The sequence below is a fragment of the Homo sapiens genome, chromosome 4 (assembly GCF_000001405.40).
Source record: "Homo sapiens chromosome 4, GRCh38.p14 Primary Assembly".
NCBI lineage: Eukaryota > Metazoa > Chordata > Mammalia > Primates > Hominidae > Homo > Homo sapiens.
Genome location: NC_000004.12, coordinates 157,286,673 through 157,313,481, shown reverse-complemented (window position 1 = coordinate 157,313,481; position 26,809 = coordinate 157,286,673). Strand labels below are relative to the sequence as shown.

Genomic DNA, 26,809 nt, shown 5'->3' with positions numbered 1-26,809 from the left:
GTGATTCTTTCAAACAGTCCAAGGGGATGCATCTAGTTTACTTCTCAAATAGCAAACACAGCCCAAATGTGTCCTTCCTACATATTTTAATTTCACAAATCAATGTTTTTTATAGTGGCACAAGTCCCTTAACAGAAGAAAAAAAATATATCTTGCAAAGATAACTACATACTCTTTCTGGAGGCATAGATGGTCTATGTAACTCCAAAAATTTCATGAATTACTCACTTTTCCCTTAGAACTCAACTTGTCTTAAGTTAATACATGTCTATTTCTTTAACTCTAAAAAGTTCATCAGACTTAAATTTAAAATTTTCAAATGAAAATATCAAAGTTTAGGGTAACATTTATCATATAAAACATAAAAGTCAGGAATTATTTATTGAATTTATTTAATGATTAACATGATGTGCCAGCATTACTGATGACCATTTGCTATTGCTAACTGAAGCCAGAGATAATTTAATTGATGATCTTTGCTGCATCCGACATAAAACATAAAGCAAAAACTGCTGTTCAAGCACCTTACACAAATACACATTGCAAATGCTGACATTGCATGCATATTCTATATCTGGCATCATTAGAAAACAGAAAGTAGCAAACCTGGTCTACAATGTCGTTTACTTTATCCCTTTCACAGTCCAGAATTACACGCCGTTCCTTTTTTAACTCCAGATCTTGAAAAAGTGATCGGTACATCTCATCTTTCTTGTCATTGTTAATGTTTCCCACATTGATAGCAGTCACTTGCCATTTCTTTTCAGCAGCAGAATCCAGCACAGCTTGCAGTGTTGATAAGCCTAGGAAGGCAAAGAAAAATGATGACTGATAAAGATACGTGAATAACTCAGGATTGTGTTATGAAATTGCCAGTGAATATATTTTTAAGGAAGATATATTTGTGCAACTAAAGGAATGTTGACTCCTTCAAAAAAAGCTATAGCTATGATCTTTATCACCTTCTACTTATGTCACTTCACATCAAAAACTCATTACCTAAATATTACTATTCTGACCAAAGGAGTCATTATTTGAGTAGAAAATAATATCCTTTTCTTTCAACACCCTCAGCTGTCTTCTTTAGAGTATTACTAAAGTGTAATGTTAATATCTTTGGTTTAAGTGAAATGAAATGGCATCACAAACATTTCTTACTCTTACAGAATGGAAAAAAATTGTTTAGTCATACATGATAGTCTGTCATTTGATATTAGTATCCTGAAGAAGACGAGTACATTTTGAATGAGGAATCTATGTAAGTCTATGTGAGGATAAGAGGCAATATTCTTTATGAGGCTGCTATATTTTCTCCTATTGTTTTCAAGTCAGCAGTTTGGGTTCATTTTTTTTTCCTTCCACAGTCTTCTGTTATGTTATTTTTTTTGTTATTGGGAATGATCCCAGAGAAATTGAAGTGGTCACCTATTAACCAGATGGTGGCAGTTATTTCTCTAGCATAGATTTACTTCTCTTTCCAAATATGTCTATTTTCCTGTTAGTAACTTTGCTTATAGCATCATATCACTTGGAAAATTTTTATTGTTTTTTTAATTGTCCATATATTACCTCATATTTAGGACTAAGAGTTACAACAACTAGAGGATTTATTTCCTGAAAAGTTATATCCTCAGTTTAGCACTTGGAGACATGCTACATAAACTTGTCTTTCATATTATTTCTACTATTCACAGCAAAACCAAATTCATCATTTATACTGATAACTTAATAAACAACGCAAAATCGAGACTCCAGAATGAATCCAGAACTCAGCAAATCATCTTCCTTATTCTAGAAAAGCCTGCATCTTTCTCTAACAATATTAGTCCCTTTTGATTAATAAAATGTAGGATTCACCTAATGTGAACATATCTCTTCAAAATCTAAATTCAGATACCAAATTTTATTTAAATCTTTTTGCTATGAAAAAGAGTCAATTATCAATTTTGTTGAAAACTATTTCAAAAAAGAAAAACCACCATTAAAAATTTTATGGATTCAATATTGGCCAAAAAGTGTACAAGATGAGTCTAAAACATCTTATGACACCAGAAGGGAAGGAACTCTCTAAAACCATCAGCATTACCTCAAAGCACACAGGAGCTAATTTGAAGAGGAGCTCTTTAAATAAAGATGGGAACATTTGAATATTAATTAGAATAATAAATGCGAAATACTTAAATACATAAACTGTTTTAAATCTATGAAATTATGTTTTAAAAACGTGCTTGACTTTGGTAGATGCTAGGGAACCAATTAATTAATTTGAAGACTGGTAAATAATGAAATAAAACAAGCATTTTCCTGCATTTCCTATATGAACCACTTTCAGGGTAATAATGAACTAAAGATATTTATTTTTGGAAATACTCTAGCTAATAGATGATGGATGAATATATATTTGAAATTATCACCATCTTGTAACACCTACGGAATTAATGAATCAAGACAACAAACATCAACTACTGGTAACTACCCAAAAAGAGAGATAACAGAGATATGTCTCCAAATGATAATATTCAACCCACCTATTTTGGTGTTGAATAGGTATATACCTATTTAGTGTTGGCTACATTCATGCCAATAATGTAAACTTGAATTTCATCACACTTCTAAATCTAACTACCAAGTTATAGGGCATATATAGAAGAAAATATTTTAAGCACCATAGTGTTGCAATCATCAAAATCTAGACTGTGGGAAACTGCATTACATTCTAAGAGTCTTAAAAATTATGTTAACTAATTGCGATATATGGATCTCATTTTTATTTTGCTTCAAACAGTGGAAAAAAGAATAATATTTATGAATTGTTAATTGTCTAGGTATAATAATACTATTACCATTATATTTAAAATATAAAAATCATTTTTTCCAAATAAACACTGAAATATTTACAGATGAGATGGCAGGATGTCTGGTATTTGTTTCTAAATAATTGCAGGGAAAAAAAGAGATATAGATCAAGCAAAATTGCTCATATACTAGTCTTTAATAAAGCCATGTTAAGAGTGTTTGGGAATCTTTATAGCATTCTAATTTGTTATTTAAAATATTTTAACATAAACATTAAAAATAATTTATTTTTATTTCAGAATGGAAGATTGAACCACATGCTGAAAAAAGTTAACTTTTTTTCTGGCAAAATGAAATTAGTTTCCTCTGTCCAGTCTTCTGGCAAAAGATATAAATAAACCTAAATTTCTCAAGGGATAATGTAAAAAGACCATATGTCATTTTTTGAAACTTTCAGTGACAGATCTTTAAAACACATCACAGATCGCCTATGATTTCCATACACTATAGGTCAGTTAAATCCTTCCCTTTTCATCTGCAGAGACAGAACACGCACAGCTGGTCATTATGATCAATTCGACAGCTATCAATGTACTTGAAAACAGCCATTAAGTCTACCCACTTTTCTCTGCAAGTAAGAGAAAAAGAAATCTAAATTCTAAGCCACTTTCCATTTGCTGGGTTCTACTTTCCTACATCACAGTCATGGTTCAACTCCCCCTTGTCACCTTCTTAAAGACATTATATCCATGGATGGGGGTCTCTGTGCTATTCATATATTACCATATAGAAATTACCAGTAAGCATCCTTATTCTCTGAAATAGCTTATTTCATTTTGTTTATTTAATTATAAAGCATACTATATAATACAATTTCAAGTGGTAATGCTCTTAATATTATGTCTCAACTTTTGACATATATTATAAGAAAGTTTAAATATAAATGACACTTTGTAAATGGATTTCACCAAGTGGAAATCCTAAATCTAAAATTTCCGGCAGTTCACCTTGCAAAAGAATATAGAGATGATGTATAAAATCAAAAAGAATGCATTTAAAGAAATGCCTAACTTGCGCCAGGTGCGGTGGGCAGATCACTTGAGATCAGGAGCTCAAGATCAGCCTGGCCAACATGGCGAAACCCCATCTCTACTAAAAATATAAAAATTAGCCAGGCCTGGTGGCAGGCGCCTGTAATCCCAGCTACTTGGAAGACTGAGGCAGGAGAATTCCTTGAAGCTGGGAGGTGGTGATTGCAGTGAGCCGAGGTCACGCCACTGCACTACAGCCTGGGTGACAGAGCGGGACTCCATTTCAAAAAAAAAAAAAAAAAAAACCAAGAAATTTCTCTGACTTTCAAACTCATTTGTTCTACGTGTCAAAAGTAATTTACAGTGGCTGTGGATTCAGGATTCACTGTTATTAAAACTCTCAAGATTAATATTTTGTAACCTATGGAACCTAACAAAACTTACATATTATTAAGAAACTAAACTGCTCAAGTAGTGCTGTATCAGACTTAATAAATTCAGTTTCATCAGAAGACACTGAATAATATTAAATTATCTCCTAACAACAGGCAGAAGTAATTCACAAGTGATTGCATTATCTGACGTGTAATTTGAAGAGACCACCATTCAATGCTTAATAACCCATTTCCCTAGGTGGTTTTTTTTCAGTAATAGTAACTGACTCTCAAACTCTCTCTCAATTTGATCTCCTCACCTCATTCCTCACAACTAAAAGTTTTATATTGTCTGATTTCTTTATAATCAATATACCATTTTTAAATTTGAAAATCACTGAAAATGTATATGAAAGTGAAATTAAACTCTTCAAACATAACACAGATTTGTGCTCTTGACCTCTTTGTACCGTATTCAATTACAGGAGAAAGTATGACTTGAGATCTGCCTCTATTCCTTCCACACAAACTAGCACAGAAGTATCTATAAATATATTCATCCTGTAATTCAGAATACAAAGTTGTATAGACAATGGGAGTTCTGCATAAACACTGGTTCATTTAAAGCTATTAGTATGCAATAGTTATTCAACTCTAATATCCATAGTACTACATTAGGATATTTGAATTTCTATAGCAGAGACTCACTTATTTTTATTGAATTACTTAAAACAAAACTGTTGAGATACATAGTTGATCATCTAAAAACAGAAGAAATCTGGAAGATTATTCCTCCTGGTAAATATATTTAAAATATAGTATGTTCTTTTAAACCCTCAAGAATATTGCTACAGTCTAAAAGTAAGTTCTAAACTCTACTGAATTCTTAGATGTTTTGCTAAAATAAAAAATGGCTAGATTACATAATGTTAAATTGCATTACTTCTTCATGTGCCTATTGTTACTGACTGGTTGTAGTTGTATAACCTATTCATAAAATGACAATCTTCCTAAAATTCTCCCAAAGTATTACTACTAGTCAGTCAGTGATAGTCTCATCTTGACCCAGTATTAATAACACTCTGAGTTATAGACAAGCCATCAGCCACCTGTCTGTATGCAAACCCTTTAAAAGGTCACCCGGTACACAGGGGAAGTCTGTCAGTTTGCACGTTAAAGGGTTAAATTAAAAATGATTACTGCCAAAATATACATTTTATTCAAACCATGTCTTACTGCTTAAAAATATTTTCTTTGCTCCATTTAAAATTAACTGTACTTATTCTTTCAAGCATATAAATTAATATTTATGATCACTAAATCATGGCAGCATGCCTAGGCCAAATTAGATTAACATATATTTCCCTCATCAGCTCTCTCAGGAATATGAGGGAAAAAATTATAATTTGAAAGCATTTTTGTTCTATGCATGATGTTTTCTTGGAACTGCAGGCAAAGTGCCTTCCCTTCAGAGGACAAATAATATTGCTCGATATTGAAACCAAGATATACAGATATAAAGTGCTAATTCTGTTTTTACCTACTCTCTGTAGAAATGTATTATCTTACCTTGTTGACACTAAACCAATAAATAAAAACCACATTTGGATTAAGTCCTGATTCAAACTTACAACATATATATCCAAAAATAAAACTATTATATAATGTTGAATGCATTAACATAGATAACCCCATTGCTCTATTGTTAAAAATGTGTTGAATTTCTCTTTATGGAGTGATGATATGCAGTTTTCAGGGTCATCAAGGAGTGTCAGGCTGTTGCCACATGGCCTGGGTAAGGAGAAGACACCAGCAACCTAAAAGATCACCTGGCACCAGATGCAGAGTTTCAGCTCTCCTCTCACCAGTAAACTTAGATTAGTCAAAGAGGGTTCCATACAAAGATGCTGCTATACAAAGATGTTTCTATCCATGCATCCATGTCTCTAATTGTTTAAAAGTGGTATATAGTCTCTTGGCCTGTTGCTCAGCATTGTGGCAGATAGCCAGGAAGCAGGAATGGCTTTCACTAGCTAAAGGTAGTGAAACTAAGCAGCATATAACAATTTCAAGTCATTTTCATCTAGTTCATGATTAGGGCAGAATGTTGGGAGATCATTTTCACATTTGGACCCTATGCTATTCCAAAGAACAGTAATTTAGACATTATAATTAACCAATATATATTCCTGACCTAGACTCTCTAAAAAGTGAGGATGATTAGAGCCTAAAAATAATCACATAATCAAGGAGGTGAAGAGACAGCCCATCAAGAACAGACCAAATTGTTTGAAACTGAGGCATGTAGAGATCTAAGTAGAGTGATGAAACCATGGGATCTATTTTCCAGACTGTGGTTAATGTGGACAAAGGGAACACAGGTGCATTCTTCAAATCATGTGACACTAAAGCAAGGAGGTGCCTACTTTGAAGCATAAGCAAAATGATTTCGGACCAAATGGGGGAAAACAGTTCACACACTAAATGTATGAATAAACTCGTTAAAATGTAGCATGATGGCAAAGCCATAAAAATTAAGTCATTAATAAGAAAAAAACAAATAGCAAAAATTCCATTTCCATGAGCCAAGTAAAATATTACACAAAGGTCAAGTCTTTTGCCAGTATTATGAGAGTCTTACATATTTATGTCTGAAAATAACTTCAGATAGAAGGCCACTGAAATATTTTTCACATTAAAACATCAATAGCTACTTGATAACACCTTGAAAATATATCCATAAGGTCATTTTGGCTTTAATATATTATTACTTAATATTATCACTCTAACATTTTTATCTCAACAGATGCACTTGAACTCAAATCAACTTGTATAATTTAATAATTGTAGATTATCTCATCACTTCAATTTCATTTAATATTTCTAAGTATTAATAAAAGTATTTTAAAATGTTCCAGATTTTTTTCACAAGTACGTAAGTCCATCCATCTTCACAGGCTAATTCCAGAGCCTGTCTTTTGAGTATCTCTCCTCACACACTAGAGTTTCTCTTTTTTTAAACTTGTATCAGCTGTTGTCTTTTTGAATTTTTCTCAAAAGTTCAGTTTTAACTAGAGGGAGCAATGGTGAGGGTAAGGATGAAGGCGAAGTGTATTCTTAAACTAAAAATGCCATCCTCAGTCAACCTTATCAAAGTGTAAAGAGAATTAGTCATTCAATTCTTCAATTTTGCAAGCAAAATTTAGCTTATAAAATCACCTTGAACTTAAAATACTGTACACATATGTTTAACTCATTTACTTATTAACACCATTTACTGAACATTAACTCTCTTTCTAGCATTATCTGAAGCACTGGGTACAGAGTCATGAGCTGAATATCTAGTACACTGAGCACTGCCTGGGCACTCTTTTCCTGGAGCTTATTGCCACACCTTACATGAAAAACATAATGCTTATCCTATGACACTAAGACAGTCCCTGGAACATAGCAGGGGCTCAATAGGCAATTCTTAAGTGACAGAATGAACATCACCCATTCATTATAAATTGTCCTAAGTACTATAAAGGAAAAGAGATTGCTTTGAAAGATAACAGTGTGAAAGGCATCTCTGAGGAAATGATATATGAACCCAGTTCTCAAGGAGGAGTAAGAATTAGTGATACAGGCAGAGATTTGAAGTGAAAGAGTTTGGTGCATCTGAGAAAGTGAAAGAAGGTCAAATGGATTTACCTTTAATGAGTGAGCAAGACAGCAGAATGCAATGGAGAGTTGAGTGGGAATTGGATATTATAAGACCTTAAAGCCAACTAAAATTTTTCAATGTTATCCTCATCATAATGAGAAGCTATTGAAGTATTTTAAACAAGAGAGTAATGCAGTCCAAAAAAAATTTTTTAACAGTAATTCCTGCTACTTCATAGAAAATGGATTAAAAAAAGACAAGGGTGGAACTGGAGAGATGAGGGACTGAACACATTATGGTGGCTTGGCCTGGGGTAATGGCAACGACAAGGATGAGTGTCTACAGACATATAATTAGGCAGTGGAAATCACATCAATAGGATGCAAGGATGAAAGAGGTATTAAGAATACACCCATATTTCAGGCTAGCTTGAACAACACAAAATACTAAAGAAGTTAGCAGAGAACAAGAGGAAAAACTAAAAATTATTTAATAAGCTCAGTTTTATAAGCCCTTTTATCACATTAATAAGTGTGCGTCGGAAACATCCAGCACATTGAAATCTGTATTTACTGTAAATGATTCTCGGTTTTAGTTTTTAATTCCCTATGGGAATAGCAAAGCACTCCCTTCTCAAAGCAGGGGGACATAGTTGTTGACACAGCAAATTTTTTTTCAGCTTGTATAGTGCTGACTGGCTTTTCCACTGAGTGTTCTCATTCCCAGGATTAGGAGGACAGGGCAGAGAATCAGACACCTAGCTCCTGCACTCCTGACTCGAGCTTGCTGCAGTAAATGACTACAAACTGATCAATGGAGAATTGACTGACGGCTGGCTCTCTTCTTGTCTGCCCTTGTGGGTTAACAAGGTGCCCTATCTTGGTCGAAATAGGCTTCTGGGTTTTCATTTGAACCTACAAATATTCCAGGAAGCAAGCTGCTGAGGGAAGCACAGTATGGTACTTAGGTACTAGGACAATCGTTGTCCCTCACCGCTTTGACTTTGATTTACGGATACTCTCTCTAAAAACATATCCATATGAACACACACACACAAGATGTTTCATACAATTTAGGGAGTACACAAACCCACTGACACCCAATTACGGACCTGGGAATGGTTAAAAACACCTGGGATTCTATGACATAAATCAAGCAAGTCTGCTAATACTAAACTTCACAACAAGGGATATGAGAAACATACAGGTTGTACCTCCCTCCATTACATTTTAACATAATGAATCAAGACTGGCATGCTATTCAAAATCATCCCATTATAAACAATTATGTGGAATGGTGTCAAAAGCATAGGTTTGGTATCAGAGACCTGTGTGTAAGCTGTACCATACGTGGGTTGATCCTGAGAAAAACCTTTAACTTCTCTGAGATTCGGGAATCTTGTTTTAAGGCAAGGGCAATAATAATGCTACCTGCCTGATAAAACTTTTGCATATAACAATATTTAATAACTGTATGTTACTGTCTGTTTCACTTAAATGTACTCAAGCCACTTCATTCACCTTGGACTAGTAGTATAGCTGTCATAGACTTTTAGCTGCTGATGCAAAAAATTGCTTTTTATATTACAACTGAATATTTGGTCATTGGGTTGATACAGTCTATCTCTCTAAGTTGTACACAGACAGCTTTTGTAGTTGTTGTTGTTGTTTTACTCTAAATATGTTTCCCAGGTTTTAAATTGCATTAGTCATTATCACAGCAAAATTAAACCAAGGGATCCTTGGGCTTTATCACACCTTTGTAGCTTTATAACATCCATAGAAGTGTCAAGTGTAGGCATTGAATTCGCCCCATTACAAAGAGATGAGATACTGTCACTTACCTCTGTCACTGTCATAGAGGTATGCAAACTTGTCCCATTGATAGTATTCAATCAAGCTAAGGAGAGCTCCTTTGAGGTCGGGTCTCATCTGAATGACAAATGGATGTGTGCCATCTGTTGGGAAGCTGGGAGTGATGAAGGAGACGTGGAGTGTTCCGCAAAATGATGTGATGGTATTTACAGACTTCTTGTCATAAAATCCAAAAATAGCATAGACTCCTCTCGAAAACTGGGAGCAGACTAGAAGAATAGGAAAAATAGAAAGGAAAAATCATTGAAATTGGCACACAATCATATGAATTTGCTTAAAACGTAATGTCCTTTTACATAAAATACAAAATTAACATATTGAAAGAAATATAGATTTAATGATCCATTGTAATTTATTAACACTTATTTACTTAGCATTCTATTTGTGGGATCTAAAAGATTCTAAAGCATAAAAAGTAGTTCTGGTTACAAGAAAATGCAAACATCATTGTTTAACAAGCTATGTAAGTATTAACATATTTTAGGAACAAATATGAAAAATGTATGGGTAAAAAAAATTAGCTATAAGAACAAACTGTAGTCTCCTAAGATTTATACACATTAATGACAGCTCATTCCCTACATAATCCAATTCCTTTAAAAATCTTTACTGTATTTATGATGCTTTTACATCTAAAAGTTAATGTGCTTCCATAGACTCCAAATGCTGACCAAAACCTCTTTAAGACAAGATAGATACCAGACTCCCCGATAAATACAGACGCATGTCCCCACAAAGCTACTTCTGTCATATTGTGTCACTCAGTCGAGAAGCAATTAAATAAAGTCCAAAACTTTGCATTTTAATCTTCCCCATGGACCTAACTTACCCTATATGTTACACTACATATTAATTCTTAAACAAATAATAATATAGTATTGTATTTGCACATCCTCATCACTCCCACAATCCCCCATCCTCTTCCAATATTTCTATTTCCAGTGAATGGCATATGACACTATCTGCTTTCACTCCTTCCCCCAAAAGTCAGTCCATAACTAAGTTATGTGCTCATTATAATACCTCGATATACTCAAATAAGGGCCACTTATTTTTCTCCCCATTCCAAACATCCTAGTTCACTGACAGTATATACTTAACATTGTGCTTGCCCTGTGCCTGGCATGTTCTAGGGTACATTAATTCATTTTTTTCTCATGATAACTTTTGAGGTAGGAACTATAATTATTTCCAACTTACTGATAGAAAGATTGACACATAGAATAATATTAAGTGAACTACCAAAGACACTTGCATAGGAGATAGATGCTACATTCAAAATAGAAAGTCTGGATTCAGAATCCATGCTCTTAATTAAAAAGTAATATGGCTTATCTTACCCAACTAGTGAAATATCTACCCAACTGTCCTCCTTCCTCCACTTACATTCCTTCCATTCAATTCTCCACAATATAATAAGAATAATATTTTGAAACATAAATCCAGTAATATCTTTTCGAGAAAAAGGGTTACTTTGTCCAAGACTGATCCCCTGTAATGCTCTACAGAGCACTGACGATCCGCAGAACAGTGCTTAAAGCTACTAGTAAAGTCAAATATGTGTCTTTTTTTTTTTTTTTTTTTGAGACACAGTCCTGCTCGTCACTCAGGCTGGAGTGCAGTGCAGTGGTGCGATCTCACCTCACTGCAACCTCCGCCTCCCGGGTTCAAGCGATTCTCCTGCCTCAGCCTCTCGAGTAGCTGGGATTACAGGCATGTGCCACCATGCCCAGATAACTTTCATATTTTTAGTAGAGACGGGGTTTCACCTTGTTGGTCAGGCTGGTCCCAAACTCCTGACCTCGTGATCCACCAGCCTCGGCCTCCCAAAGTGCTAGGATTACAGGCATGAGCCACCATGCCTGGCCAAATATGTGGCTTTAAATAGATAAATAGCTGATATTTCTCAATCTCGGGGTCATTTCAATCCAAAAACTGGAAACCAGTCATCCAGAAACACAATCTAACAACCTAGAACATAACATCTACCATCCTTTTAAAATAATCCTTTTTGAAGGATAAAACAAACCCTATCTTATATCATTGTATTTACTTCACAAAAATAGATGGTCTGTAGAAAAAATAGATTTGTTTCATGAATACGAGCATTGCTAAAATATGTACAGATTCTAATTGCCAATTCTAGACAATCAAAAAATATTAGGCAATACTGTTTAGTAACTGTTGTACGGTATGAATCCAAAGGAAAGCAAGATTGCCTCTTTAAGTGGCCCTTATTTGCCGAAAACCTGTGTAATATGTAAATTTACACATCCTTTATTACCAATCTTCTACAAAGCAGACTGAAATATCTCAAAAAGCAACTGAATGCATTTCATTACATTTATTTCACACCTTAACATAAGGCAAAGATGAAATAACTGTCTTTTATTCATGCCCATACTTTTTGTTCTTGTCTGGGTACAGAGTTGAAAATAACCTTTAGTGTATTTGATAACTATGTCCTTTCTTCACATACATGAAAAATAGCTTTCATCTCACCTAGGAAAACTCTGCAGTGATTTCTTATTTTATACATAAGTGTATGTGTACTGACAGGTATATCTTAAATCTTAAATTTGTTCAGCAATTGATGATTCCAAATGACACATAAAAGAAAGACTTGCTATAAAATTCTCTCTGGGTCTATTTAATTCCATTTCCCTGCAAAGTGTGGGCATGTCATCTAGGTACTATAGGAATATCATGCAATATGATTTATTAATGAGACCTCTTCTCATCTTAAGTGAAATAGCTTCTGTGATGAAAACAGCAGCCACAGCATCAGCAGGATGCCTGATAAAGAATGCCACTGTTTGAATACACAGACAAGCTTAATAAGGAGCCATACCTTTCATTTTCGATTTGTTTTAGGCCCTGGAGTGAGTTGTCAAGGGACCTCCTGGTTATTGCGGCCATCTGGAAACACTGGCTTTGACCCAACAACAGGCACAAGCTGCACACAACTTCATAAGGAATGATCCACCTAACTCAGAAGACAATTTATTTTTCCCCATGCACTTCAGCTAATTCTCCAGTGAACCTATTTTTACAACAATAGCTCTTCTCTCCTGACTCTCTTTGGTCTCCCTCAACCCTCTCTTCTTATCCTTTATTTCTTCATTGCACTTACTCAAGTGTCCATTTGCATATATCCTCTATTTTTCTGGATATTTCTTTCTTATGTCCCCTGACTATGCATACAGTTAACAGCCATTCGGCCAACAGTGCTCATTTCCCTCTCTGTACCTTAGGACAGTCACTGTCTCTGTCCCCAAGCAGGATAAGAATGCCACTGAGATTTACAGCCAGGAATCAATCAAATCCATCAGAATGCTTACCTAAACTAAGGTACTTTGCTTGCCCCGTTTGTGGTAACCATCTGAAGATGAAAAACTTAGCACTATGCTTCTAACATGTTATCCCCAAATATCCAAGACTGTTCGTATTTAAATATTGATGCTTGCCCCAATTTAGCATAGGCAGCATAACCTACTGACACCTTTCACAAGAATATTAGCTGCAGTACTTTGGAATTACTCTTTACTTCATTAGAAGGGAAATTATTCATTTTCATCTTTACCTTATTCCCCAATGATGCCTCCAAAATTTAAAGCCATTTCCTTAACTTTGATCCATCCTGTAATGAAGGAAGGTTTACTACCACCGAGACTATCAGAAATAACGTGTCATAAACTCTGAAAATCAATCCAAAGACAACTTTCTAAAATGAGTTATACAATACCAACACCCTATATAGTCACATCTGGAGGCAAAGAAAGAAACATGAATCCTCATTTTCACCTCCAGCTTCATGACCTTCACAATAACACTGTGAGACACTATTATAAGTTTCTCAATGATAGTCCTGATTAATATTAGAATTGCATTTATGTTTTGAGATTCAAACCAGATTGCAAAGGAGTAAGTAAAGATGCTCTCACTGAGTTCTGTAATTAAATATTTAATATCAACTTTGAGAAACTCAGCAAAGGGCAAGTCCTTCTAAAAGACACTTTATGTCAAACAGCAGAAATGATAATCTCCTGGGTATAAGTAATTTGCTGATTATTTCACTTTTTATTACAAGCCCAGATGATATAAGCCAACAACAATGCTGATGGTGCATCCAACACATCTTTTTCTCTTAGGTCACTCTGCTCATTGGTGCTGCTAATGTAGCATACATGATACAGTCTGTATGCTGAACAAAATCTAAATAGCCTCGCATAGTTATTGAGTAGAAAGGGAGAAGAACTGAGTATGTTTTTTTTGTTTTACATATTTTAGATTTATAAGTTGAGATTCACTTCAATGAATCAGCATAGTCTGCTTCATAAGCAGAAATGGCAACAACCTCTTTGCAGTTTGAACAAAAACTGGTAAAAGCTGCATCACCAAGGAATTCTGACATCAAAATATGGAAACCACTGAAAGCCTCTCTCCTTCTCTCCTAAACTTGTGACATTAACCCCATGCATAGTTTGCCCCTGATTTCAGTACTGAAATTTCCCTATCATCTGTTAGTAAGGATCTCCTGGTAACTAAAAATAATCATCTCTTCTTTGGATCTAGCTTTCTTAGCTTCTCTGAATTTATTAGACCAAAATTTGCCTCTTAAAATTCTTTCCCTTTCCGCTGCTACTAGTCTTGCTCTCTTCTAATTCTTTTCCACATAGCTGCCAAGTAAAATTATACCATCTTGGTACTTTTCCTGTCGCTCTAATTATCTTTCACTGCCTTATCTTCTTCCTACATCCTAAATTAAAAAGACCTTCTCCAAGGATTTGTCTTCCAATTGTTTTCTCTTATCTTCTTTCACTCTGCCTCTTAGTGGTCTCACCCCTTTCCACAAGGTCAAATTCAATTTTTATGCACATATTTCCCAAGCCTTCACTATTATCCCAGTTATCTCCTAAAACTATTTATTTACCAAAAAATGCACTGTAAATATTCTATGTGACAAGCATAGTGTTAGGTTTAGAAAATGCACAACAAAGAGGATGAGTATTGTGAGCTGATTCAGGAAAAAAACGGAATTTTATCTACTATGTTTTGGTGTTCCACACTGAGTCATTTTTGATAAAATATAACGTTCAAATCTAGAGAATAGTTCTCTCTCAAAAAAAAAAAAAAAAAAAAAAAAAAAGCTTAGCTTCAATCTGTCACCTTCCAGTGTCCCTCAGTTCATTATATGGAAACTTCTAAAACCATATATTTCCAACTAATTCCATAAAAATAATGAAAAAATGTTTTATTTTATTCTGATGAACCATATCTATGTGTTTATTTTTCCCTTCCTGCTCATGCATGATAACTATTGCCATCATTTATATGCAATAGTTCAGAATAATGACCTTCTTGCCCTTTCTTGTCCTATGCATGTCATCCATCACCATTTAAATTTTATTCTACTTCTTTCATTGCACATTTACAAAGCACTTTTAAGAACCTACTATGCACTGTTCTAGGTTTGGGGAAGACAGTATTAAGCACAACAGGTAAGTTCCCCACTTATATGAAGTTTCCATAACAGTACTTCTTAAGCATCTCTTGCACCTTCACTTTCCTTTTCTTTCTCCTTGGTTCTGCCATGTGACCCACCTCTTCTCTCTCCTTCCTTCAATTTACACTCTTGTCATATTAGTCTTCCTAAAGCACATCACATAAAGGCATCAGTCAAGGATCTGTCTTCCAATTTTTTTTCTTTTTCTTCAAAATCTATCTTTTAGCGGTCTCATCCCTATTAACAAGGTCAAATTCAACTCCTTATGCAAATATTTTCCAAACTTTCATCATCACCCTAGCTGTCATCCTTTATTTACTGATAAAAATATATACTGTAAATATATATTAATTTTTCAATAATGTATTTTCATGATTATTTTGTATTTATTTCCCTGTTGGTATAATTTTTAATTAAAAATATTCAATTCTTTCATGAACTCATGTGTGAGCTTTCTAGAATAAAAAAAGAAAAAAGAAATACATAAAATGCCACTGTTTTACAATATCTAAACACATATTACTTTAATCTAAACAATTAAATATCACAGAGAGATTATTATTCTGTTTTCAAGAATCTTGGGCGGCTCTGACCTCAGAAACAGCAGCTCTAGGGGCTAAAAGTGAGAACAAACTGGGTTTGAATCCTGGCTTTGCCATTTTCTATCTGGATTTATTGGGCAAGTTACTCTACTAGTCTGTCTGAGCTTAGTCATGTGTAAAAAACGATAAAAATATTACCTACCTGCCTCATTGTGGGACAGGGAAGTATTAAAGTAAACATAAGCTGAAAAGAGTGTTGGCCCTATGAGTCTCTCATGACTTTCCTACATCTTAATGTTCTAATTAATGTTGATATTAACTATTTATTAATCATGCACCAGGATTTTGCTCATATTTTCCTTTAGTCTAAAATTCATCAATTCCACAAGACAAGTGCTTATGTGTTGAAATAAGCCCATCTCTTCAGGCCAAAAAATGTTAGAATCACTCTTGACTTCTCTTCCTTTATTCTCAGCATATGAATTGTCACCAAATATTGCCCATTAGACCTCTCTATCTGTGCTCTCCAGCTCTCATGACATTGCCTTAATATGGTCCTTAAACATCTATTGACTAGATGGCTGAAATAACCTCTCAAAAAGCCTCCTTCATAATAAATCTTTTTCCTCTCATGGCAGATATAACCCTCCTGCTTAAAATCCATCAATTTCTTGCAATTGCTTAGAGAAGAGCACGTATAGCATTTGCTCAGGTGTTACCTGCTCTGTGTGGTCTGAATTACAAGCTGCTCCTGCATGTGATTCTAAAGCAATCTGCCTTTCTGTGTATTAGCCTGTTTTATATTTGTCTAGTTTGCCCATAAACTGTGAGCTAATTGAAAGGAGAGAATGAAGTGCCATTTACCTATGAATGCCTGTCAAGTACTTGGCACACAGCAGGCAACTGATAAATGTCATTTAATAACTACCAATTCTTCCAGGAAGGGTTCCTTGCTTGCCATCAACTGAATATGATCCTCCCTAATTATGAACTCCATCAGCACACTCCCCAGTTGCCCGAATCGGAAGCCCAGCTCTATGTTTCCCTGGGCACCTGGTAGAAGAGTCTCTGATCTTAAGCATGCTTCCTAATCTATTGAATGGGGCTATTAATTCCTCTCCTGTCTATCTCATGAGAATTCTTTTAAGTTTAAATTAGATAATATATAGAGATGTACTGGAAAAAATTATAAATTATTAGGTAAATGTGTTATTGACAATAAATAAACCACAATAATTTTTGTATTCTCTGCAATATCCAAATCAGAAGTTTTCACAATTATATAATCATTAAATATTTGTCAAATGAACATACAATCAGAACCAATGGTCTAGCAAAGACATAAAACGGGTTCTTATGAGAAAATTTCATTTCCGTTGATAGTGGGGTATTTCTGAAATCATGTCAAAACAATATTTTTATCCTTTGTTATCATTTTGCAAAATTACAGCTGTTAGTTTAAAATTACCTATGAAATGTAGTTAATTCATTCTCCTAATAGGAAAAAAGCGCAATCATTTTTAGTATGAAAATATAATATTTAGAATATTTGTGAAATTTTATTATTTTAAGATTTCCATATACATTTTGTAAGTGGAGAAGTTTGTACCAAGAAAGGGGACATTACCAACCTGAAAAAGTACACAGCGCAAGCTGCAATTGAAAACCTAAATGAAATGAGGTAAATTTTTTTGCCTGGAACATACATTGAATTTCTTTGCATGGAATATATGCCCAATAACAAATTTTGCACATGAAAATATAGAGAAAAATTCCCACAATTTCAAATGTCTTATTTACATAATTGAAATAAATTGTTAAAGTTTTAAAGTTTGTCGTAAGTGACATTTATTCCCCTAAAAATACAATTATTGTAACAGATAGTGCATGTAATGTTAGGTTTCCAGGTAAAAATTGGGGGGAATCATAAAAATAGACCTGTGATTTCTTTACTCTCACAAAATGTAGGTAAATACAATGTTCTCTTCTTATGATGAAATGAAGTTAAACCATCTACTTTGCATTAATGGGGTTATTTTAAAGTTCACTTTTCCACTGGGGCAAATTCTTTTCCTATCTATGGACAGAAAGGATTTCCCATTCTGGACCTGGCAGTGTAGCATCTCTCAAAAAACTCTCATTTCTTTAAAAGTCTACCCTTTACTTTGTTCACTCCTGTTCCCCAGAGCCCAGCAAAGTTCCTAGCACAGACACTCAATATATAGCTACTGAATGAAACACCAAGTGATTCAGAGGAAATGCAAAGAATAATAAACATACACCCCAATGACATTTTCCATAAATTGCCTCAATGATGATTTTCCCTATAGCTCTGCCACAAATATTTATGATGATAAATTACTTCTCTTTTGCATACGTTTTGATCTAATGTTTCACAGAAATACTAGATTGATGCAACATCATCACTCAGCAGTAGAAGACAATGAGGCTGTAATAATACATTTTTCTTTCTCTCTAACAAATATTTACCCCTCCTGACCTTCATGTTATGTTTGCTGAGTGAGGTAAAATGGCGAAAGTTTATTGCTGTTGCCCATATTATATGCAGCTTTAAAAAATCTATAACATTTATTCTGGCTTCATTCATTATCTGGGATAGCAGGCAATTGTAGAACCAGCAGTAATAGGCAATAATTCTCATGTGAATTTTAATGATGGGTTCTGGATACATAAACGAAAGAGAATTACCTCTGTCTGTATCAGGCGCTATTTCACAAGTGATAGTCTCATTCTTTATCTTTGGGATACGTATTTTCTCCTTATAAATTCATATAGTTCTATCCTCTGTGAACTCTTGCTCAACTCATGCTCTATGTGAGTTCTGGGCACTCTATGCCCTGATGAAATTTGAATATTGTGGATAAAGAGTGCCAGGCTGAATGAATGTCTGCAGGCCTGGCGTCTAATCCTTGCTGTGACACCAGCCAGCTGTGTGCTGCTGGCAAGTCTCAGCTTTCAAATGTCTCCATGCCCTCAAAGCTCATACTTGGGCCTGTGTGGCTGAACATCAAAGAGAGAAATTCTAGAAAATGTCAGGTAGTGCATATATATTATTCATCACATACTTTCTCATGGAAAATGTATGTGAGATACAATAAATTTCAAGGATTAAATAATATCATTCTCTGTTTTATTACTTTTTCTTTCTTTATATTTCTTCCTCTTTGTTTTACATTTCTTCCTCTTTGTTTTATATTTCTTCTTTCCTCTTGCTCTGTTTTCTCTCTCTCTCTTTTTTTTTCTCTTCTTCATGTTTATAGCCACCATTGGTCTTAATGCCTAAAAAACCTGCAATCTCTTGTCTGATCTTAATTAGAATGTACAAGACCGAGGGATTATGTATGTGTTAAACATAGATTCAATGACATCTCAGTCCAAATAATCATTTTAGAGTCTATGATAAAACCTACTTTTAAACAAAATAACTGAAAAATGTTCAAATGACTATAAGATTTCTACTTAAAATTTATCCTTTAAATAAAATACAAAAAAAAAAAAGACAGAACTTTATCACCTTACTGTCTGGATACCCTCAAATTAGCTTGTATAACACTTTTGCTTTTGAATGACTCAAAGAGGTTCTGAAGGTTTCACAGAACTTTCTTGCTCTTCTTACTTGTTGGTAAGCAAGCGGGTTCCTGCGCATGTGCCATAGTACTTATGTGTTAACCCACATACATTTATTTTCAAAGGACACATTTTTTTCAATATAGTATAATGCAAAATCATATAAATATGCTAAATGCTCTGGGCCATTAGCATTCATCTCTAAATTGCCAAGGAATTGGAGGGATTATCTTTAGCATAATGGACTCACACACCCTTGATGCATTGAGTCCTGGTAAAATTATGACTTCATGCTTGTTAAGGGATCATGGCACATTGCTCTAACATTGCCCTGACTGTCGCCCTATTCCATTGTAACGCCTAGTTACAACTGATGGTGTGAAACAAATTCCTTCCAGAAAGGATTTGTAGCTTATTTTGTTTTTGGCCCTTACATTTATTTGAATACTCTAAATTAAATGTCTGTAATTCAAAAATAGCAGGAGTATATTATAGCACAAATTTAAACAAGCATACTGATTAAAAGGATGTAAATTCCCTTTGCTTACTATTCTTCCCAGAAGCAACCCTTGTTAACAATAATGTGGGATGTACCTCTAGCCCCATAGTTCTAGTAAGAGTCGAATTTGTTTGTGCGTTTCTGGTTTTGTTATGTTTTTGATTAAGGACACCACAGAACAATTATCTTGTGGCTTACTTTGATATCTGGCAGGGAAATTACCATGTTGATACAGACTTAGTCCACTCTTTTAAACCATTGTATGATATTCCCTAGTTTGAAGATAGCAGCAACATTTTATTAACATTCCCTAATTGAAAGATATTTAGATTGTTCAGAGTTTTGTGATTACAAACAAGGCTGCAGTGAACATGTGAATACATACATCTTGGAGCACATGTGCTATTATTTCTGCAGAACAGATTATTAAAAGTAGGATTGGTTGGTCAAATCTTATGCTGGGTGAAAGGTTATCCATGCTATCAAATTATCACCCAAATATAGTGTAGCAATTAACATTGCTATCAATAAAATAACTTTTTGTGTGTAATTCACTAATAATTGATATTTTTCATTGTTTCAGTTTTTACTAATCACAGGTAAAAATGACATTTCATTTTTGTTTTAATAATGGCAACTTACGTTTTTGTACTCTTGACAGTACGCATTGCTCTTAGTATATTTTATGTATTAACTTAAAATTTGTTATACTGTAAAGCCACATGGGTCCTAATATTATCCATATTTTAGACATTAAAAAACTTGGAAGCAAGTTAAGTAATTTTCTCAGCTATCATCTCTAGAAATGGGTGAGTGGGTGTCAACCCAGGCAGCCTGACTCCAGAGCTGGTTTCATCAGCCACCTCACTGATAAACAGGAAAATTGGATTCCCATCATCATTAGTAAGAAAGTGCATCTATTTTTATAGTTTCCTCTATTAATCATCTATTCCTAGATTTTGTACACTTCTTTTTACTATTAGATTACCCTTTAAGTTTTGATTTCTAACGTACTTTAATCTTCTTCATATGTAAAGCCCCTATTTTTCTTCCTTTTTCTCTTACCTTTTTCCGTGTTTATGATGACATTTGTAACCAAATTCTCGATCCTTCATTTGATGATTCCTAAATTTTATGTCTTGTGTAACAAGGATTTCCCATTCTAAGATTTTCAAACTATTCTGGGATGTTTGATTTTTAACTATCCCTTTTACATTAAATTCTTCTAATATTAATATCTGGATATTATGAATAGTAAAAACCTAACTTATTTTGTTTCCACATAGATGTTCAATTTCCCAATGCTTTTAATGTAATTTTATTGATTTCCTTGGTTTTAAATGTCACATTTATCTTATGCTACGTTGCTATATGTCCCTATGCCTATTTCTGAAGATGAAAGCAAGTGTTTTAATTACTACACTTTTTTGGAAATAACTATTGCTGTCAGTGTCCTTTTGCAAAATTTTTGTACCTATTGTTTTGCATTTTTTTCTTTAGCATTTTGCTTAGGATGAGATAGAAATACAAACTAATTGGCAGAGATTAATATTTACCACATTATAGCCAATCACTATTGACTAAGAACTGTTTTATGATTCTCAGTAGTTTCACACATTTATTCATACCTTTCAAACATTTTATTAGATTTATCCCTAGATATTTTATATCTTTCTTATATTACTGTCAGATGATTTTTCTTTATATTTTCTATTTTAGATATTGATAGTACCATTGGCTTTCAAGTCATAATTTTATATCTAGTGATCTTACTGAACCCTCTTATCAGTTCTATGAGCTTTTGGGTTGATTCTTTTGGATTCTTCTAGGTGAGAAAGCAATGATTTTTGTAAGAATTTTACTCTACTCACTTTTGGAACTTTCTACTTTGTGAAATTATTTCTCCTTAGCTTTGTATTTCTACTGTACTTCTAATAAAAATGATAAACTACAAAGTATACCATTAATATGGGATCTATGCAATTAATATGTTATCTGTGCAATGAAAATTGAGAATTTCAATAATTATCTGATGCATTTGATCAATGTATATAATTAAACTCTTTTATGCAGCTCATAATTCTTCCTTTTCAATAGATGGACTTTTAAAAAGCCCATAGGTTATGTGAATAATTCCTCAAATTCTCTGTTTTACTCTGTGGTCCTCAGCCAATTAAAAAAAATAGGAGAAAATATATTGCAAGTTACATAACATCAATATTTAGTTATTGTCTATTTTTTCTATAATTATTCATAGCCAATTCTGAATATACCACCATAGCTGCAACAAGGCAAATAAAAAAATAGCAAAGCAACCATTATTCATTAGTAAAGGCCAGAAGATGGAGCTAAACCATTGAGAGGGAGAAAGGAAGTGGGCAACAAATGAACAGCTGAAAAGGAGGCATTCGGGAAAGAGCGTGAAGCTCCCTGGAAATTAGAATTCTAATAGCTATTTAATTTCTGTGACAGAAAAACATGGAGAAAATTGGAATGAGCAGATGATAGCTAATTTCAAGGGAAAATATTAATAATGTGCTTCACCGTAAGTTATTTCAACTGCATGTGATCACGGAAAATAGGCACATATGAATTCAGTTAAAGCCATCATTTCGAAGATATCTAAATGAATGAACGTCTTGTTCTGGAGAACATATGCACTTCTGTATATAAATCACAGAGTATATTGCAGATTTGTCCATTTTAAGGTGTCTAAATTAAATGCGACTGGTGAAAATAAAGCAGGAGCAAAAATCAATACTGAATTGTGAACTACCCAGGTTGGTTGTCTGGCTTTTTCAGAGCCACTAGATAGTTGCCAAGTCCTTAAGAGATGATATCATAAAAAAAACAAGCTGGGGAGAACCAGAGCTTCTAAAACACTTTATCAATGAATCAAAGCATATGTTCTGATTTCAAACTTTTAAGAACAAAGTTAAGGCATATGTCATACTTCAATAAGGATGACAATGGATCTTTTATCAATGTGAATAATATAAAGTAAGTCAGCATCGAAGTTAGGAAAACTAAAATATGCCTGCTGGATCTATATATGAATGAAATTGCTATTCTATTCCATGAACTAGTTCCTTCTAGGGTAATCTGGATTAAAAAAAAAAAAAAAGCAGTGATGTAACCAGACAAGAATGGAGTTTTTGAATACGAATCTTGTAGAATGTCCAAGGCAACATGAATATTAATGAGGAAGAGAGAAAGTTATATTTGTGTATGTGTAAGTATACCTTTCTTTTACTCAGCACATCTCATGCTCTCAAAACATATTAAACAGCATTGGACCAAATGTAACCATATACTGATTTGATAGGATTTTGCCAAATTGTTTGCAAAATTTTATAGTACTTTCATAAAATAATATTTCCCCTAAAGTAAGTTAGTATGATGTATTATGTATTATTGCTGTATAATTGCATGACCAAAATCTACCACTTAATTGAATGAAATTTTTAAAAATGCTTTGGGAAAAAGGACAGTATGACTGATTTCTATAACCATTATTCTTTTAAGTAATAACTAAGACTTACATATAAAATTATGTGCCAGGTACTATGTAAGGTCTTACATCTATAAAGTCATTTAATGCTCCCAATAACCAATATACAGACAGGTAAGTTTCCCAAGTTAACACAGATAGTGACAGTAGGGCTGAAATTTGAACCCAGGCAGTCTAGAAGCAGCTAGAAAACGTCACAAGAAAACCTGAAAATACATTTCAATAGACAATAAAAATAAATTCCAGAGTAGTGATAGATTTTCTAAGTCAAAAAGACATTAGGGAAAAATAATCTCTCTAGCTTTTTATTTAAAATTCTTTTCTTTTATTTTTAATATATAAACTTGTAGAGTGTTTGTGTATGTGTGTCTGTGTGCTTGCATGCTACTGTATGATATGCATCCAAATAAGACAAATAATCCATCAAGAAACTTTATTAATTGATATTTATAATTTGTAAATTTAATCTTTGCTATACCTTTTCCTGTCACAAGTCACAAGAAAACAATTCGAAGTAACAAGTTAAATGAAGATAAGTATTGATATATGCCTTTCATGACACAACCAGGACTTCTTAAGAATCTTGAATTTTACCTGTACATTATCTTCTCATCTGTATTTCTACAACCTCTACAAAATAAAATGGGACACAGCAAGAACCTGCCTAATGTAATCAATGTATTTACATCAAGTATTCGCAAAGTCTTATGATTTTGATACTCTAGACAATTGTAACATGTTTTTTAAATTTCATAAATGTAACATTTGGGGGCACTGATGCACTCATGTTTACTTTCATTACTTCCAGCAATGCTCAGGTACTAAACAAAAAACATTTTTTAATTATATAAGTCCTTATGTGTTTATGTCCACATTATTCTGGAAAATTTTAAGGGACATATTGAAATTAGTTTTTTTAAAAAGAGCCCCTGTTCAGGTAGACATTTTCCCTTCACAACATTTTTTTCTAACACTTAAAACCAAACCAGTTTGATTGCAAATCAAATCTTTGCTGCCTTCTCAGCATTGGTCACAGCAGAGCTCCAATGTACTTTCTGCCACTTCTTACCCAGGTCAGCAATGAAGCTGCAGAGGAAGGTTAACGCTAAAAACAAATACATTGTTAAAAGGGAACAAATGATTTTTTAAATATTTCACCCCAAAATAAGCAAGGCTCAATTTTACTTCTGTTTCCGCTCAATGTTTCTTCCAGTTATCACTATAACATACCCCAAATATATAATCAAAATTTTAAAATATTTATTTCCTCAAAACATCCAGAAATTATACAGCATAAAGAAACATAAGACCTTATGCAAAACTACTGAATATAGAAATACACCAAAATGTCCCTAACCTCAACATTATCATTGGTAGACATAACCACCTATCTGAATACAAACTACAGAGGATATTTGTCTGTTTCTAATGGCTAAATCTTCTGTAGTTCTTTTTAAATAGCCCAACTTCCCTGAATTTTGAAAGAGATTATATAAAGTATACACAAGATAATTTTGATACTCATAAAGGAAATATGTGTTGTGGTAAATAAATAAATAAATAAAGTCCAGGATTGGAGGTGGGCCATATGCTATCCACTATAGCCTTAGATAATTAGCTTAACATTTTTAGGACTCAGTGGCTTTAGTTATAAAATGCTGTGGCACACTGCCACAGCGATGTTCCAATGGAGATCGAGTAACCCGAGGCCTAAAAAAATAAAGTTAAAGACAGAATTAGATTAAAAGAGAAAAAATAATGGAGGAAGTAGAGTATCTGATACAGGGTTAGTACCTAAAAAATGTAAACTGGTTTTGGTTTTGGCTGTCGTTTTCTTGATATTGGTGCTTTGCTGCTGAGACCAGGTGACGTCAAAGATTCATTTCAATTTAGAGATTCAATTATTGGTGACTCCTTGCACCATTCAACAACATTCAAGTTTATTAGTACAAGAATTTGTGATTCTGCTTATACTAAAATTAAAAAAAAATTATACTTTGAGACATCTGAAAATATTTGTTTTTTAGTATTTCCAAACAGGGGTCCTAAAAATGTATAATACTTTATTAGGATTCTTTTCAGTATTTTTACAGCACACTAGGTTCACTTTCTTTGTGAGCAATCTGACTGGCTCAATATCTCCAAAACTCTCCTTTTTTCCTTAATGTAATATATATGCAAGACTCAGATCACAAGAAAAACACCCAAGATAATACACGGAAAACAGAAATGTTAGGCAGGACATTGAAGACTGTCTTCATGACAATTAATTTTCAGTTTTACCTAGAATCTTGAATTTTAATGGCTCATCGGAGAAAAGAGAAAGACTTTGGATACTCCCTAGTATGAGAACATAGGACAGAATTGTGAAAAGGTGGTCGGCTGGCAAGGGGATGAAATAAAAAAAAAAATCTCTTACTCGACTCTGCTCTGAGTGGAAACAAAAGTCACCTCTTGGAACTCATAACCTTAGGCCACAAAACCCACCATTTTTCAGTTTCAATTTACATAGTGGAAAACCTCAACTCTGGAAATTAATCGAAAGCAATTTTGAATTTAACTCTAATCACTAAGCAAAAGCAAATAAACACATATGCTCCCTAAACCAAAACATACCCTCCAACCAGGACACCTAGGATTCCAACAGATTAATGAGACCCAACTGTAAGCTCAAAACTTTTTTAGAAAGAAAAAACAATACATTCACACACACTCCCACACACAAAATAATGAGACAGAGATCAACAGAAATAAAAAACAGCAATATTACATTTCAGATGCACAATGTAAAATATTTTAAGTCTTTAAAGAGTAAATAAGATATTGAAAATATAAGCATTCAGTAAGGAACTATAAAGTATTCAGAGTTAAATTTGAAAGAAAAATAATCTCCAAAATAATAAATTTAACTATTAAACATAAAAATCCAATGGATTGATTTAGGAGTTATATGAGATCATCCTGGTAAATAATTATTAAAATAGATGTTTTACTGAGAATTAGTCAGAATCATCAAAGCAAGCAAAGAAATAGACAACACCAGACAACAGATTGGAGTTGTTTCCAGACAGAATAGAGAATAGGAGACAGTAATTTAAAGAGAAGGCTGAAATTTTTCTAGAATTGATCAAAAAAATATTTTAAATTTTAGAAAACACAACTCAATAAATTGACTTTCACAAAGGCTACTTCAGATACTGTTTATCCAGGAAAACAGATGAATGTGAGAGTAATCAAATAGAAAAGAAAGAACAGCTATAAAGGAATTTGAATTATAATGACAGCAGATGTGTTGACTGCCACAAAGGAAACTGGAAGACAGTAGAGTAATACCTACAAAATAAGGAGAAAATAAATTGTAACCTATAATCGTATTGATTTGTTTCCTGAAATAAAAATGCCTTCTAAAATACCAAAATCAACCACTAAAAGAATAGAAATA

The 26,809-nt window shown here is 33.6% G+C and overlaps 1 protein-coding gene across 7 annotated transcripts in view; it reads right to left on the bottom strand.

The window, feature by feature from the left end:
- GRIA2 (glutamate ionotropic receptor AMPA type subunit 2) overlaps positions 1-26,809 on the bottom strand; it is a 145,956-nt gene that overhangs the window by 52,594 nt on the left and 66,553 nt on the right. For all 7 annotated transcript variants that reach the window (XR_007096394.1, NM_001379000.3, XM_047450131.1 and 4 more), the window contains exons 3-4: positions 9,691-9,930; positions 607-803 (exon numbers count right to left, since the gene is read on the bottom strand). Coding sequence is in view for 6 of the 7 variants with exons in the window: in NM_001379000.3 (NP_001365929.3) it covers positions 607-803; positions 9,691-9,930 (437 nt within the window). In the remaining variant the exon portion in view is untranslated. The remainder of the gene's footprint in view (positions 1-606; positions 804-9,690; positions 9,931-26,809) is intronic.